Source organism: Homo sapiens, chromosome 8, assembly GCF_000001405.40.
Source record: "Homo sapiens chromosome 8, GRCh38.p14 Primary Assembly".
NCBI lineage: Eukaryota > Metazoa > Chordata > Mammalia > Primates > Hominidae > Homo > Homo sapiens.
Window position 1 is genome coordinate 47,647,688 of NC_000008.11, and position 13,937 is coordinate 47,661,624.

Genomic DNA, 13,937 nt, shown 5'->3' on the forward strand with positions numbered 1-13,937 from the left:
GAGAGAGAGAAATGATGGTTACAACTTCAAATAAAGCAAGATAAGGGACAGTGAAGGTGGAGGGCTGCTATTTTTACATAAGACTCAAGGAAAGTCTCACTGACAAGTTAATACTTGAATGGAGATGGGTGAGTAAGTCATGTAAATGTGTAGGGAGAGCATCTCAGCAGGGAGATCTGGTACTTGAGGATGCAAGAAGGGATCTGTTTGGCATGTTTGTGGAATGACAAGGAGGCCAGTGTTTCTGTGCATCACATACATGAAGGTCAGAGAGGTAGAAAGGGTAGGGTTGGGACTCTGATCGTGAGGAGGTCTAGAAAGCCATGATAATAAGGCCTTTGGATTTTATTCCACGTGTGATACAAAGCCATTAGAAAATCTGGAACCCCTGTAGAAGTGATTCTAAATGACTGTGTGAGAAGCAAGAGAGTCTGAGTCCTCCATTAGGGCAAGCTGGTGGATAAAGACATGGTGCAGAACTGGAGATATCCAAGAGGTAGAAAGTTAATTCAACTTAGCACTCTGAATGATTGGATGTGGGAGGTGGAGAAAAGGGAGGGATCCAGAAGGATTCTAAGGTTTGGGCAACAAGATGAATGGTGATACCATTAAACGAGACAGAAAATTCAGGAGGGAGAACAGAGTTGGAGAGAGCTGAGATGATGGTTTTAAACATGTTGAGTTTGTTGAGGGACCTGTGAGTCACAAATACCAAAAGGGAGAAAAGTAAAATGAACCCTGTCATGTTTGATCAGAATTAGGGTAGTATAAACTCGTACTTTTCAAGATGGATGGGTGAATGAACAGAAGTCAGTGTCTGTTTGTGTGAGAGGGTGTATGTGTGCACACACTTCCCAGCTCTACTAAGAGGCTCTGGGACAGTGATACGTCAGTAGCAATGAGCACACCTAGTGCCAGATAGTAGCTTCTAAATACCTGAAGGGAATTGGCAAAGTGACTGATTCCAAGTTTGGATGAGATAAAATACAAGATGAGCCTTGAAATCTTGTTATGTTAGAAAGTAAGAATGTTCTCAAAGAATGATGGGGACATCAAAAAGAAAAAGGACACCGAAGCTAGCTTGAAAGAGTCCCCAACTAGCCAAATCTGGGGCAATTCATGCATCAAAATAAGGGATAGTTATAGATTATAAACCATTCAGTAAGACTCGATGAAAACAAATGAAAAATAATTTAAGAAAATGAATGAATTGGAAATTTGATAAGGAATAGGATATTAGACGGTTTCACAGTATCTCCTACACAATGTTTTTTAACTTCAAAAGGAAAAAGAGTAACTTATAGTTGAGAAGCCTGACGGACATCACCTTAAGTTTTAAAAAGTCAGCGTCATCAGTATTGGGACAAATTAAAATAATGTAATTATTTTAATACACAGAATGTAATTAGAAGCCGGCCCAGGATGCACACCTATAGTCCCAGCCACTCAGGACGCTGAGGTGAGAGGATCACTGGAGCCCAGGAGTTTGAGGTTGTAGTGCACAATGATCATTCCTGTGAATACCCACTATACTCTAGCCTAGGCAGCATAGAAAGAGCCTGTCAAGAAAAAGTGGGAAGAATGCAAAAAAAAAAAAGCACACAGCATCACTTCTGTGTTATTTTTACCAATGATAGATCAACTGAATCTCACAATGAGAAGAAATCAGACAAACCCAAAATGAGGGTTCATGCTGTACAGAATACCTGAACTGTTTCCTTCCAAAATGTCAGGGTTATGAAAGTCAAGGAAAGACTGAGGAACCATTCCAGACTGCAGAGTATTAAGAGACATGACAACTAAATGCAGCCCGATTCTGAACTATCTCCTTTTGCTATACAGGACATTACCAGGGCAATGGGTGAAACATGAGTGAGTAGGAAGATTAGGTGGAGGGAAGATCAGGGTTCATGTCCTCCTCTTATGGCTGTAGAGCGGCTATATGGGAAAAAGTCCTTATTTGTAGGAAAAACACACAAAAGTATTTGGGAATGAAGGGGTATCATGTCAAGAAGTTACCCTCAAATAATTCAGGGGAAAAAAACATGATTTTTACTGTATTTAGAACTTTTTAGTAAATTTGAGATTTAAAACTTTTTACAGGGATGGTTTAACATATACAGGTCAATAAATATGATACATCACATTAACAAAATAAAAAAACAAAAATCATATGATCATTTTAATAGATGCAGAAAAAGCATTCAATAAAATCCAGCATCCCTTTATGATAAAAACTCTCCACAAACCTGGCATAGAAGGGACATACCTCACAGTAATAAAAACCGTATATGACGAACCCACAGCCAACATCATACTGAATGGGGAAAAGCTGAAAGCATTCCCCTTGATAACTGGAACAAGACAAGGATGCCCACTGTCACCCTTCTATTCAACATAGTACTGGGAGTGCTAGCCAGAACAATCAGGCTACAGAATTAAAGGGCACCCAGATTGGAAAAGAGGAAGTCAAACTGTTACTGTCTGCCACTGATATGATTGTATACCTAGAAAACCCTAAAGACTCCTCCAAAAGACATCTAGATTTGATAAACAAATTCAGCAGAGTCTTAGAGTACAAAATCAATGTACAAAAATCAGTAGCACTGCTATACACCAACAATGACCAAGCGGGGAATCAAATCAAGAACCCAGTCTTTCTTAACAATAGCTGCAAAAATTAGAATAAAATACTTAGGAATATACTTAACCAAGGAGGTGAAAGATAAAGAGAACCGGAAAACACTGCTGGAAATGATCATAGATGACAGAAACAAATGTAAGCACGTCTCGTCTCATCTCATGGATTGGAAGAATGACCATCATGAAAATGGTCGTGCTGCCCAAAGCAACCTACAGATTTAATGCAATTCCTATCAAAATACCAACATCATTTTTCACAGAATTAGAAAAAACAGTCCTAAAATTCATAGGCACCAAAAAAGAGCCTGAATAGCCAAAGCAATAGTAAGCAAAAAGAATAAATCTGGAGGTGTCATGTTTCCTGACTTCAAATTATACTATAAGGCTATAGTTACCAAAACAGCGTGGTGCTGATATAAAAGTAGATACACAGACCACTGGAAAAGAATAGCCCAAGAAATAAGGCCAAATACTTACAGTTAATAGGTCTTCAACAAAGCATATAAAAACATAGATTAGGGGAAGGACACCCTATTTAATCATTGGTGATGGGAAAACTGAAAAGCCACATGGAGAGGAATGAAACTGGATCCTCATCTCTCACCTTATACAAAATAAACTCAAGATGGATCAAAGACTTAAATCTAAGACCTGAAACCATAAAAATTCTAGAAGATAACCCAGGAAAAACTCTTCTGGACATCCCCTAAGCAAAAAATTCATGGCTAAGAACCCAAAAGCAATTACAACAAAGACAAAAATAAATAAATGGGACCTAATTAAGAAGCTTCTGCACAGCAACAGAAATAATCATCAAACAGACAACTCACAGAATGAGAGAAAATATTTGTAAACTGTGCATCTGACAAAGGACTAATATCTAGAATCTACAAAGAACTCAAGCAAATCAGCAAGGAAAAAAGAGAAAGACAAGTAATCCCATCAAAAAGTAGGCAAATGACATGAATAGATATTTCTCAAAAGATGACTTACAAATGGCCAACAAACATGAAAAAATGCTCAACATCACTAATTATCAGGGAAATCCAAATTAAAACCGCAGTGAGATAGCACCTTACCCCCTCAAGAATGGACATTATTTTGAAAGTTAAGAAACAATAGATACTGGAACGGACGTGGTGAAAGGGGAACGCTTATACAGTACTGGTGGGAATGTAAATTAGTACAGGTCTATGGAAAACAGTATGGAGATTCCTTAAAGAGCTAAAAGTAGATCTGCCATTTGATTCAACATTTCCACTGCTGGGTATCTACCCAAAGGAAAGTAAATCATTATATAAAAAAAGACACCTATACACATATATTTATTGCAGCACAATTCACAATTACAAAGATAGGGAACCAACCTAAGTGACCATCCATCACACAATGAGTAGATAAAGAAAAATCACTATACACACCATGGAATACTTCTCAGCCATAAAAAAAAGAACAAAATAATGGCTTTTGCAGCAGCTTGGATGGAGCTGGAGGCCATTATTCTAAATGAAGTAACTCAGGAATGGAAAACCAAATACTGTATGTTCTCACTTACAAATGGGAGCTAAGCTGCCAGCACACAGAGGCATACAAAGTGATATAATGCACTACAGAGACTTAGATGGGGGAGAGTGGGAGAGGGTGAAGAATAAAAGACTACATATTGGGTACACTGTACACTACTCGGGTGATGGGTGCACTAAAACCTCAAAATCTCAGACTTCAACACTATACAATTCATCTGTGTAACCAAAAATCGCTTGTACCCCCAAAAGCTATTGAAATTTTTAAAAAATAAATAAGGGTCAGAAATTAAATAAAAACTTTTTAAAATGATCAGAAAAGTGAGTAGGAGGCAATCAAATGGAAATGTGAGGCCCACACTTTCTCAAAGGTTGGCAGGAAGGTTGGCAGGAAAGAGAGAGTGACATACGCTCCCAGCAGAGACTGCACTGAGCATTTGGAGCCAATGTGCAGAGAGAGAAGAGATACACCTAGGCTAGGTGGTGAGCACTGCAAAGCAAAGTCCTAGAGGCCGTGTTTTGCTGGGCACCCAGGTCCAGTGGAAAGGGCAGGCTGGGCAGGCAGCAGGAGGATGTCAGCTGGGCACGGCAGGCAGCTCCAAGGTGGGCGGGCTGGAAACAAAACTAATTCCTACCTGGGAACCTTCCTTCTCTCTGAGAAATAGAGTTGTCTTCTAAAAGTGGCCATTGTCTGCTGTCTTAAGTACAGTAAACTGAATATGGTTCGTCTTCAAATTTGAAATTACTTCACTGAAAAATGTATCAAAACAATTTAATATTTCTCAGTGATATTGTTTCTAAAACAGGTTTTCTTAGGATTGCAGAATTTACAAAATTACCATTGATATTTGAAAAAGAAGAAAGCCTTGTATGTATGCATTTGCCAAGGCAGTTTGATTTTTTTATTTGGTAGGGTCAGAGCAGGTAGAACATGTATGCATACTTCACAAAAAACAGGTGATTTATAAGCCATTGCATTAGACAGGACTGGTTTCCAAGCCAGTCAGTCAGCTTAGAATGTGAAACCCTGATTCAGAAGCGAATCACCTAAGGATGATTCAACACTGTGTTTCCTGTTGTGCTAGTAGGCCCACTACAGTAGCAGTTTACCCCCACCTCACCCAGTTCATTAGACTCTAATCTAGTCCCATACTGGAACTACAGAGCCTGAAGACTATATAAGCAACTGTCTTCTCATTCTCCTTAGACTGTCCATGACTGATGCCACTCACCAGGCACAGGAGGGATGCTAATCCATTCCATGGAATGGAGCCTCAGGGTTTACAGGCTTTATTCCCTCCAAGAACCCTGCCTCTGAAAGCCTGTGTGACTCTTGCGTGGGCCAACATGCCCTTTGATGGCTCAGGGGAAGCTGTAGGACACTAACTTACCCATGGCACCACCAAAACTTGCATCCCCAGGCCTGTGTCTTGTTCCTTACTCTATACCCAGTTACAAATCCTTGGCCTCTCAGGTTTCAGTGATGAATAGGCATGGGAAAGTAGGAATACCAAATGGCCTCTCATTTGGTAGTCGGTTGGGGAATGCATGAGAGAAAATAAGACCACAGTGTGCCCAGGGATGCTGAGCTGATGGCACATTTTGAGCAGTAAACTTTCTTAGTGTAGATCCCTCCTTCCTCGCTCCCTCTTTTCCTTCATTGTTCTTGTCCTAATTTACAACTTCACTAAGTTCTTCCTTTCCCACTTGTATACTTTGTAGCAATATATGTTTTGGTTTGTGAACTACCTCACATTGTCCCCAAGGGCAGGAACTATGTCTTATGTCCCTTTTCCCCAGGAGGGCTGAATAAATGCCTGTTGATTAACTCAACTTGGTGTAACAAACATATATTATCTATAATGCATAAGTCTCTGAGCTAAGGGCTCTGACATGTACATACGGAATAAGAAATAAGATTCCTGCCTTCAAGAAACTTCCAGGAGAGAGAAAAGAGCTCCTCAAGTTATTATAATACATAGTAAATGTGATGAGAACTAAAAGACAAAAAAAAAACAAACCACTTTTAATGCAAAGGAAAAAAAGGAAAAAGAATTGTTTACACTATGGGAATAAGAGAAGTCTTCATATAAGACATGGAGTTTCAGTTTGACTTTGAAAAATGATACTTAGATGAGTGGGAGTGGCAAGGACTATCAGATTCCATGAGGGGAACAGGCGGGAGCCAAGACAGATAGGGGCGTGGTAGCAGCATCTTGATCTTCTTAGGCCCCACCATGTGTGTACCAAGAGGCATGCAGGAGCCATTGGGATACTCCCAAAGTTCTCTGGCCAGGTGAGTGACATGATTAACTCTATTCGATAAGAAGGAGCACTGTAGCAGCAACCTGCAGGAGGGGTTAGAAGAAAGGAAAGAACAGGGTTTAAGAGACAGGTTGGGAAGCACCTGCCTAATCCATGTAGGTGGCAGGAAGGGCCACAAGCAAGGCAAGACCGTGACAATGGGGATGAGGAGGAGAATATTAAAAAGGTGATGCGGAGGGAAAATAGACAGGTTACAGCAACTGGATGTGAAAGGAAATAGAGTACTTCCAGGTTTTGAGACTCAGTGACTGGGAGAACAGTGGGGCATTCTTCAAGAGGGATCTCTGCATAATGATGGTAAAGTAACAGATCTAGAGAAAGAGAGATACTGGCCAGTTACATTAGCTCTGTATTCATTGGCCTAAATAAATGCAGCAGTGATTTTATTCTGTGTACCCTACGAAATATAGATGCACTCATATAACACTTTGCCAATGATAAACTAAAACTCTGGTTGATCCTCTTGAGAAGGTTTAGACTCTTTTCTTTCTTAAAGACCTACACTCATATAAGACATTATCTTTTAATACGACTGGCATGATATATATGTTCTTTTTTTATATATACTTTAAGTTTTAGGGTACATGTGCACAATGTGCAGGTTTGTTACATATGTATACACGTGCCATGTTGGTGTGCTGCACCCAGTAACTCGTCATTTAACATTAGGTATATCTCCTAATGCTATCCCTCCCCCCTCCTCCCACCCCACAACAGGCCCCGGTGTGTCATGTTCCCCTTCCTGTGTCCACGTGTTCTCATTGTTCAATTCCTACCTATGAGTGAGAACATGCGGTGTTTGGTTTTCTGTCCCTGTGATAGTTTGCTGAGAATGATGGTTTCCAGCTTCATCCATGTCCCTACAAAGGACATAAACTCATCCTTTTTTATGGCTGCATAGTGTTCCATGGTGTATATGTGCCACATTTTCTTAATCCAGTCTATTATTGTTGGACATATGGGTTGGTTCCAGGTCTTTGCTATTGTGAATGGTGCCACAATAAACATACATGTGCATGTGTCTTTATAGCAGCATGATTTATAATCCTTTGGGTATATACCCAGTAATGGGATGGCTGGGTCAAATGGTATCTCTAGTTCTAGATCCCTGAGGAATCGCCACACTGACTTCCACAATGGTTGAACTAGTCCACAGTCCCACCAACAGTAAAACTGTTCCTGTTTCTCCACATCCTCTCCAGCACCTGTTGTTTCCTGACTTTTTAATGATCACCATTCTAACTAGTGTGAGATGGTATCTCATTGTGGTTTTGATTTGTATTTCTCTGATGGCCAGTGATGATGAGCATTTTTTCATGTGTCTTTTGGCTGCATAAATGTCTTCTTTTGAGAAGTGTCTGTTCATATCCTTCGCCCACTTTTTGATGGGGTTGTTTGTTTTTTTCTTGTAAATTTGTTGGAGTTCATTGTAGATTCTGGATATTAGCCCTTTGTCAGATGAGTAGATTGCAAAAATTTTCTCCCATTCTGTAGGTTGCCTGTTCACTGTGATGGTAGTTTCTTTTGCTGTGCAGAAGCTCTTTAGTTTAATTAGATCGCATTTGTCAATTTTGGCTTTTGTTGCCATTGCTTTTGGTGTTTTAGACATGAAGTCCTTGCCCATGCCTGTGTCCTGAATGGTATTGCCTAGGTTTTCTTCTCGGGTTTTTATGGTTTTGGGTCTAACATTTAAGTCTTTAAAGATATATATGTTCTTAAAAAGGCATAATGCCTTACATTTTTGGTCCATTGATTTTTGACATGGGTGTCAGGCAATTCAATGGAGAAAGAAGAGTCATTCCAATCAATGGTTTTGGAATGACTAGGTATCCACATATAAAAGAATTAAGGTGGACACCTGCCTCATACCATACACAAAAATTACTGCAAAATGAATCACAGATCTAATGTAAGAACTAAATTTCTCAGAAGATAATGTAGGACTGTATCTTCCTAACCGTACATATTAGGCAATGGTTTCTTAGATGTGACACCAAAATCATAAACAACAAAAGAAAAAATACATAAATGAGACTTCATCGAAATTAAAAACTTTAACGTCTCAAAAAACAAATTTGCAAATCACTAGTCTGATAGGGGACTTGTATCCAGAATATGTAAAGAACACTTACTACTCAACAATAAAAAGATACCCAAATAAAAGATGGTTAAAAAATTCAAATAGACATTTATTCAAAGATAATGCAAATGGACAGTAAGCACATGATGATCAACATCATTAGATACTAGGGAAATGCAAATAAAAACCACAGTGAGATACCACTTCACAGTCACTAGGATGGCAATAATAAAAAGAAGGACAATACCAAGTATGGATAAATTCAGGATGTGGAGAAGTTGGAATCTTGGCACACTACTAGTGAGAATGCAAAATGTTGCAGCCATTTTGAGAAACAGTCTGGCAGTTCCCCAAAAAGTTAAACATGGAATTACCATATAACCCAGAATTTTCACTCCTAGGTATATACTCTTGAGAATTGAAAACGTATATCCATGTAACTTCTACAGAGTCACTCCATGGCAACATTACTCACAATGCAAAAATGTCAAAACAACTGCAATATCTGTCAGCTGATAGAAGATAAATAAATGTGATATATCCATGTAATGGAATATCATTCAGCAACAAAAAGGAATGAAACACTGATCCATGCTATAACATGAGTGAACCTAGAAAACATCATGCTAAGTGAAAAGAAGTTAGACATAGAAGGCCACATATCATATGAGTCCATTTATGTGAAATAACTAGAACAGGCAAATCCATAGAGGCAGAAATCCAATCAATTGTTGCCAGGGACTCAGGGGAGGGGAGAATAGGAGTAATTGATGGATGGAGGTTTCCTTTTGGGATGATAAAAATATCCTGGAATTAGATAGTGCTGATGGTTGCAGAACATTGTGAATGTACTTAATGCCACTGTGGTACACTTTAAAAGGATTAAAATGGTAAATTTTATGTTATGTGTATTTTGCTACAATATAAACAGGTCCATTCTATGGCATGTGAATTATACCTCAGTAAAGCTGTTATAAAAATAAAAGGCATAATAGCTTGTTTTACTTACCAGGGAATTGTGCTGAGGAAAAAAAAAATCCAATCCCAAAAATTGTATACTGGATGATTCAATTTTTGTAACATTTTTGAAATGGCAAAAATTTTAGAAGAGAGGACAGATGAATGTTTTTCTGATGTTAGTCATGAGGGTTGGGAGATGGAAGGAGGTGGGTTATTAAAGGGCAGCCTGAGGGACCCTTATGGTGATGGAACTGTTCAGTATTTTGACTGTGGTAGAAGGTACAGGATCCTACACAGGTGATAAAACTGTATCAAACTAAATATGTGACACACATACAAGTAAAAGAGTGGCAGGTTTTAACAATGTCAATATCCTAGTTGTGGTATTGTACTATTGTTTACTAGTACATATAGTTTATACTATTGGGGTAACTGGGTGAAGTGTACAGGGGTTCTCTCTGTGGTATTTCTTAGGACTGCATGTGACTCTACAATTAACTCAATAAAAATTTCAATTAATAAAAAGGCAGGCTTGAAGCAATGGCTCTTGCCTCCAATCCCAGCACTTTGGGAAGCCAAAGCAGGAAGATCCCTTGAGCCCATGAGTTCCAGACCAGCCTGAGCAATATAGTGAGACCCCATTTCTACAAAAAATTTAAAAATTTAGCTGGACACGGTAGCACAGGCCTTAGTCCCAGCCGTTTGGGAGACTGCAGTGGAATGATCACTTGAGCCCAGGAGGTTGAGGCTGCACTGAGCCGTGATCATGCCACTGCACACCAGCCTGGGCAACAGATTGAGACCCTGTCTCAAAAAAAAAAAAAAAAAAAAGAAAAAGAAAAAGAAAAAAAAAGGCAAAAGAGGTATCTTTGAAAACGTGTTCCATGGGTAAATGTCTATCAAATTATACGACGTCTTGGCCGGGTGCCGTGGCTTACACCTGTAATCCCAGCACTTTGGGAGGCCGAGGCGGGCGGATCACCTGAGGTCGGAAGTTTGAGACCAGCCTGACCAACATGGAGAAACCCTGTCTCTACTAAAAATGCAAAATCAGCTGGGCATAGTGGCACATGCTTGTAGTCCCAGCTACTCGGGAGGCTGAGGTAGGAGAATCGCTTGAACCCAGGAGGCAGAGGTTGCAGTGAGCCGAGATTGCGCCATTGCACTCCAGCCTGGGCAACAAGAGAGAAACTCCATCTCAAAAAAAAAAAAATAGTTCGATATTCACCGGCAATAAACAAATCAAAGTCCAGACTGGCACCAGTTGTGTCAGCGGTTTTATTTGTGTCTTCCTTAAAGACCAAGCTTGCAGCAGGGTTTTGTTACTGTTGTTGTTGTTGTTGTTGTTGTTGTTGTTGTTGTTGTTGTTAATCTCAGCAGCACAATGTTTTTCTACAATAAAGATGGTGTGTGAGTATGGAAAAGGCCTTTCTCGGCCAGACTTGGTGGCTCACGCCTGTAATCCCAGCACTTTGGGAGGTCGAGGCCAGTGGATCGCCTGAGGTCAGGAGTTCGAGACCAGCCTGGCCAACGTAGCGAAACCCCATCTCTACTAAAAATACAAAAAATTAGCAGGGCGTGGTGGCAGGCACCTGTAATCCCAGCTACTCAGGAGGCTAAGGCAGGAGAATCGCTTGGACCGGCGAGGTGGAGATTGCAGTGAGCCAAGATAGCGCAATTGCATTCCAGCCTGATCAACAAGAGCAAAACTCCATCTCCATCTCAAAAAAAAAAAAAAAAAAGAAAAGACTCTTCTCAGCGCCGCACAGTGGCTTACACTTACAGTCCCAGCACATTGGGAGGCTGAGGCTGGTGGATCACTTGAGTCCAGGAGTTTGAGACCAGCCTGGGCAACATGGCCTAGCCCCGTCTCTACCAAAAATACAAAAATTAGCTGGGCGAGGTGGTGAGTGCGCCTGTGGTCCCAGCTACTCTGGAGGCTGAGGTGGGAGGACCAGTTGAGCCCAGGAGTTGAGGCTGCAGGGAGCCGAGATGACAGCACGGTACTCCAGCCTGGGAGACGGAGGGTGGCCTTGTCTCAGAAGGGGAAAAAGGCTGAGGTTTTTTTCCCTCTTCTTTTGGTTGTCACTTTTAGCAAAGTAAGATTGTTATTCCTTTCGGTTCATTGATATTTAAAAGTTTACATGTCACATTTTTATTTCAGCAAAGAGAAAATATGATTTTTAAATGAATAAAAAACATTTCTGTGCAGTAGAAGTCGTGCTAACATCTCATGTTAAAAAGATAAACAACAGGATTAACTGTTTACTTTGGGAGCGCAGAGGCTGGTTGTTTTTTGAGAAGAAGAACACAATGTCCTGCTGTCTCTGGTTTCCCGGTCGGCCCTCCTCCCAGGCGGCTACAGGAGTGGGCGAGGCCCCCGCCCCCAATGCGTCCCCGCCCCCACCCCGCCCCGCCCTCGCTCTGGCCCTTCTCGCCCCCGCCTTTTCTCAGCGGCTCCCTTGCGCTCAGGTTCCAGCCCTCTTCTGTCCCCATGCTCCCTTTTTTTCTCTCTCTCTTCTTATCACTTCATCCTCTGATTTCTTGGTTTTTTTCCTTGGGTTGAAGCTTCGTAAGAGATTATAAAGTGGAGGGCAGGTCTTTGTTGATCTTTAGAGGCTGCTTAAGTTGACAGTGACCTAGAATGAAACAGCCGGGCCTGACTCCGATTCCGGGAATTCTTGGTGGACTGCTAAGAACTGCTCCCATAACTCACGTAAACATCCCACATAGCCACTTAATCTGCCCTCTCAGCACATGCGTGCGCAGGCACACACGTTTGCTGTGCTCTCGCTGTCCTTCATTCGTGTAGCTATGAAACTGAGCCAGTGAATGAAAGAAAGGGAAAACACGTAGCTTTGGAAAGGAGGAAGGGACAGTTAAAACTTTTTTAAAAGAGAAATTAAATTGTACTCCCACAACTTCCCCTACAAAATTAAGAGTTTTATTTTTTTATTCCTTGTGATTTGTTCTGTTGCCTTTACAGATAAACAAGACGTATTTTTACAGTTTTTGAAATACTCTTTAATTGGCATAATGGACATTAAGTTGGTAAGAAAAGGAAAAAAAAATTCTTAAAGACAAATATTCACTTCATAATGGACTTTTATACTTCCAACGTGAACAGGGAACCTCTTATCTGTATTATTTTATGTTGCTGGGAATGCACTGTGGAATGTGGTTTCATCTGGCACCAGTTTTAATCGGCTCTTCCAACATGGTCCAGGCCTCACCCTCATGGCTCAGAAATGCACAGAATCAAAGTCCTGCGGAATGGCAGCTGATGGCTGAAACAGGTGATTCTGCTGCTACCCTGTTCCCCTGGAACCACTTTCTGACTGCTGCCTTGTTTTCCCAGTTGAGAGGGGTGAAGTGTGGGTGGCTAGGGGCAGGGACCCGCTGTAGACATGGTATTCTAATGGTTATGTATTGCTTTACCCACAGTGGAGCTTTACCTTACAAAGCAAAACAGCTGTAGCTGAATGATGAGGTCACCGTCATAAGGCCGCATCTATGTGAAATGGTATACCCTGTGCCACTCTCAAGCACCTTCCTGTGAGCCCCTTCCCATGAGATTAGGCCTTTTATAAAAATGCAGACACCTGGCTTCAGGACTTAGGAGAGCTGGCCCTTAATGAGAGGGAACCCTATTTTCTTGTCAGTTAACTGCATGTGTAACAATGCGCATTTGTCTGGTAGGTGAAGGAAACCAAGATTTTGAGCACAGAAGAGATGCAGGCACTTAACTGGGTGTGAAACAAATTCACATAATCTGGATTGTGCAGGTACCCAAACTCCTAGTGTCCGTGTCCATTCGTGTCATGTGGTGCCTGCTCCCCTGCACCACCGTCTTATAGTCATGAAAGTGGGGGTTATTGGGGTGTGTCTGTGGCAGAAGCATTGATCTTAAACATTAAATAAGTGGAATTCACTTGACGGACTGTTATTCCAAGAAGTTTTGAATGGCTCTCTGGCTGATGGAATCAGTGCAGTTGTGAGACTCTCATTCTAAACACACATGTCCTACTTCTCTGTGAGATATTTTATCATGGCTGTTCTAAGCACTTATCTAAGTTAATCACTCCTATAGATAGCAGCATCCCCTCACACCAGGTATAAGGGACCCACCAACCATGCTCAGTGCTGCATAGGGCAGAGAAGTCGCCTGCAGCCCAAGCCTTAGCTCAAGATCGCTAGCAGCGGAGAGTGTGGTGTACTGGATGCATACCTTTGCCTTGGCAGTGGGTATTCTATGGCAGGACAGCAAAGGAATGTACTCAACTGCTTCCCAAAGTGGAAGCTCCGTTTTATGAACATTAATCAGATAACTTTAAGATGTCAGATCTCTTGAGCCCGCCGTGGCCTGGCTAGCCACTGGTTCCCAATATTTCAGAGCTTACTAAGGA

The 13,937-nt window shown here is 41.1% G+C and overlaps 1 protein-coding gene across 59 annotated transcripts in view; it reads left to right on the plus strand.

Annotated features, from left to right (window-relative positions):
- Positions 1–13,937, plus strand: part of SPIDR (scaffold protein involved in DNA repair) — a 475,429-nt gene that overhangs the window by 386,810 nt on the left and 74,682 nt on the right. Inside the window, exons 1-3 of one of the 59 annotated variants that reach the window (NM_001352960.1) lie at positions 11,977–12,003; positions 12,758–12,827; positions 13,231–13,316. The exons of 57 other annotated variants lie outside the window; for them this stretch is intronic. Coding sequence is in view for 1 of the 2 variants with exons in the window: in NM_001352959.1 (NP_001339888.1) it covers positions 6,404–6,462 (59 nt within the window). In the remaining variant the exon portion in view is untranslated. Of the gene's footprint in view, positions 1–6,400; positions 6,463–11,976; positions 12,004–12,757; positions 12,828–13,230; positions 13,317–13,937 lie in introns of those variants that run through there. One more of the 59 variants, NM_001352959.1, reaches the window with a different exon arrangement.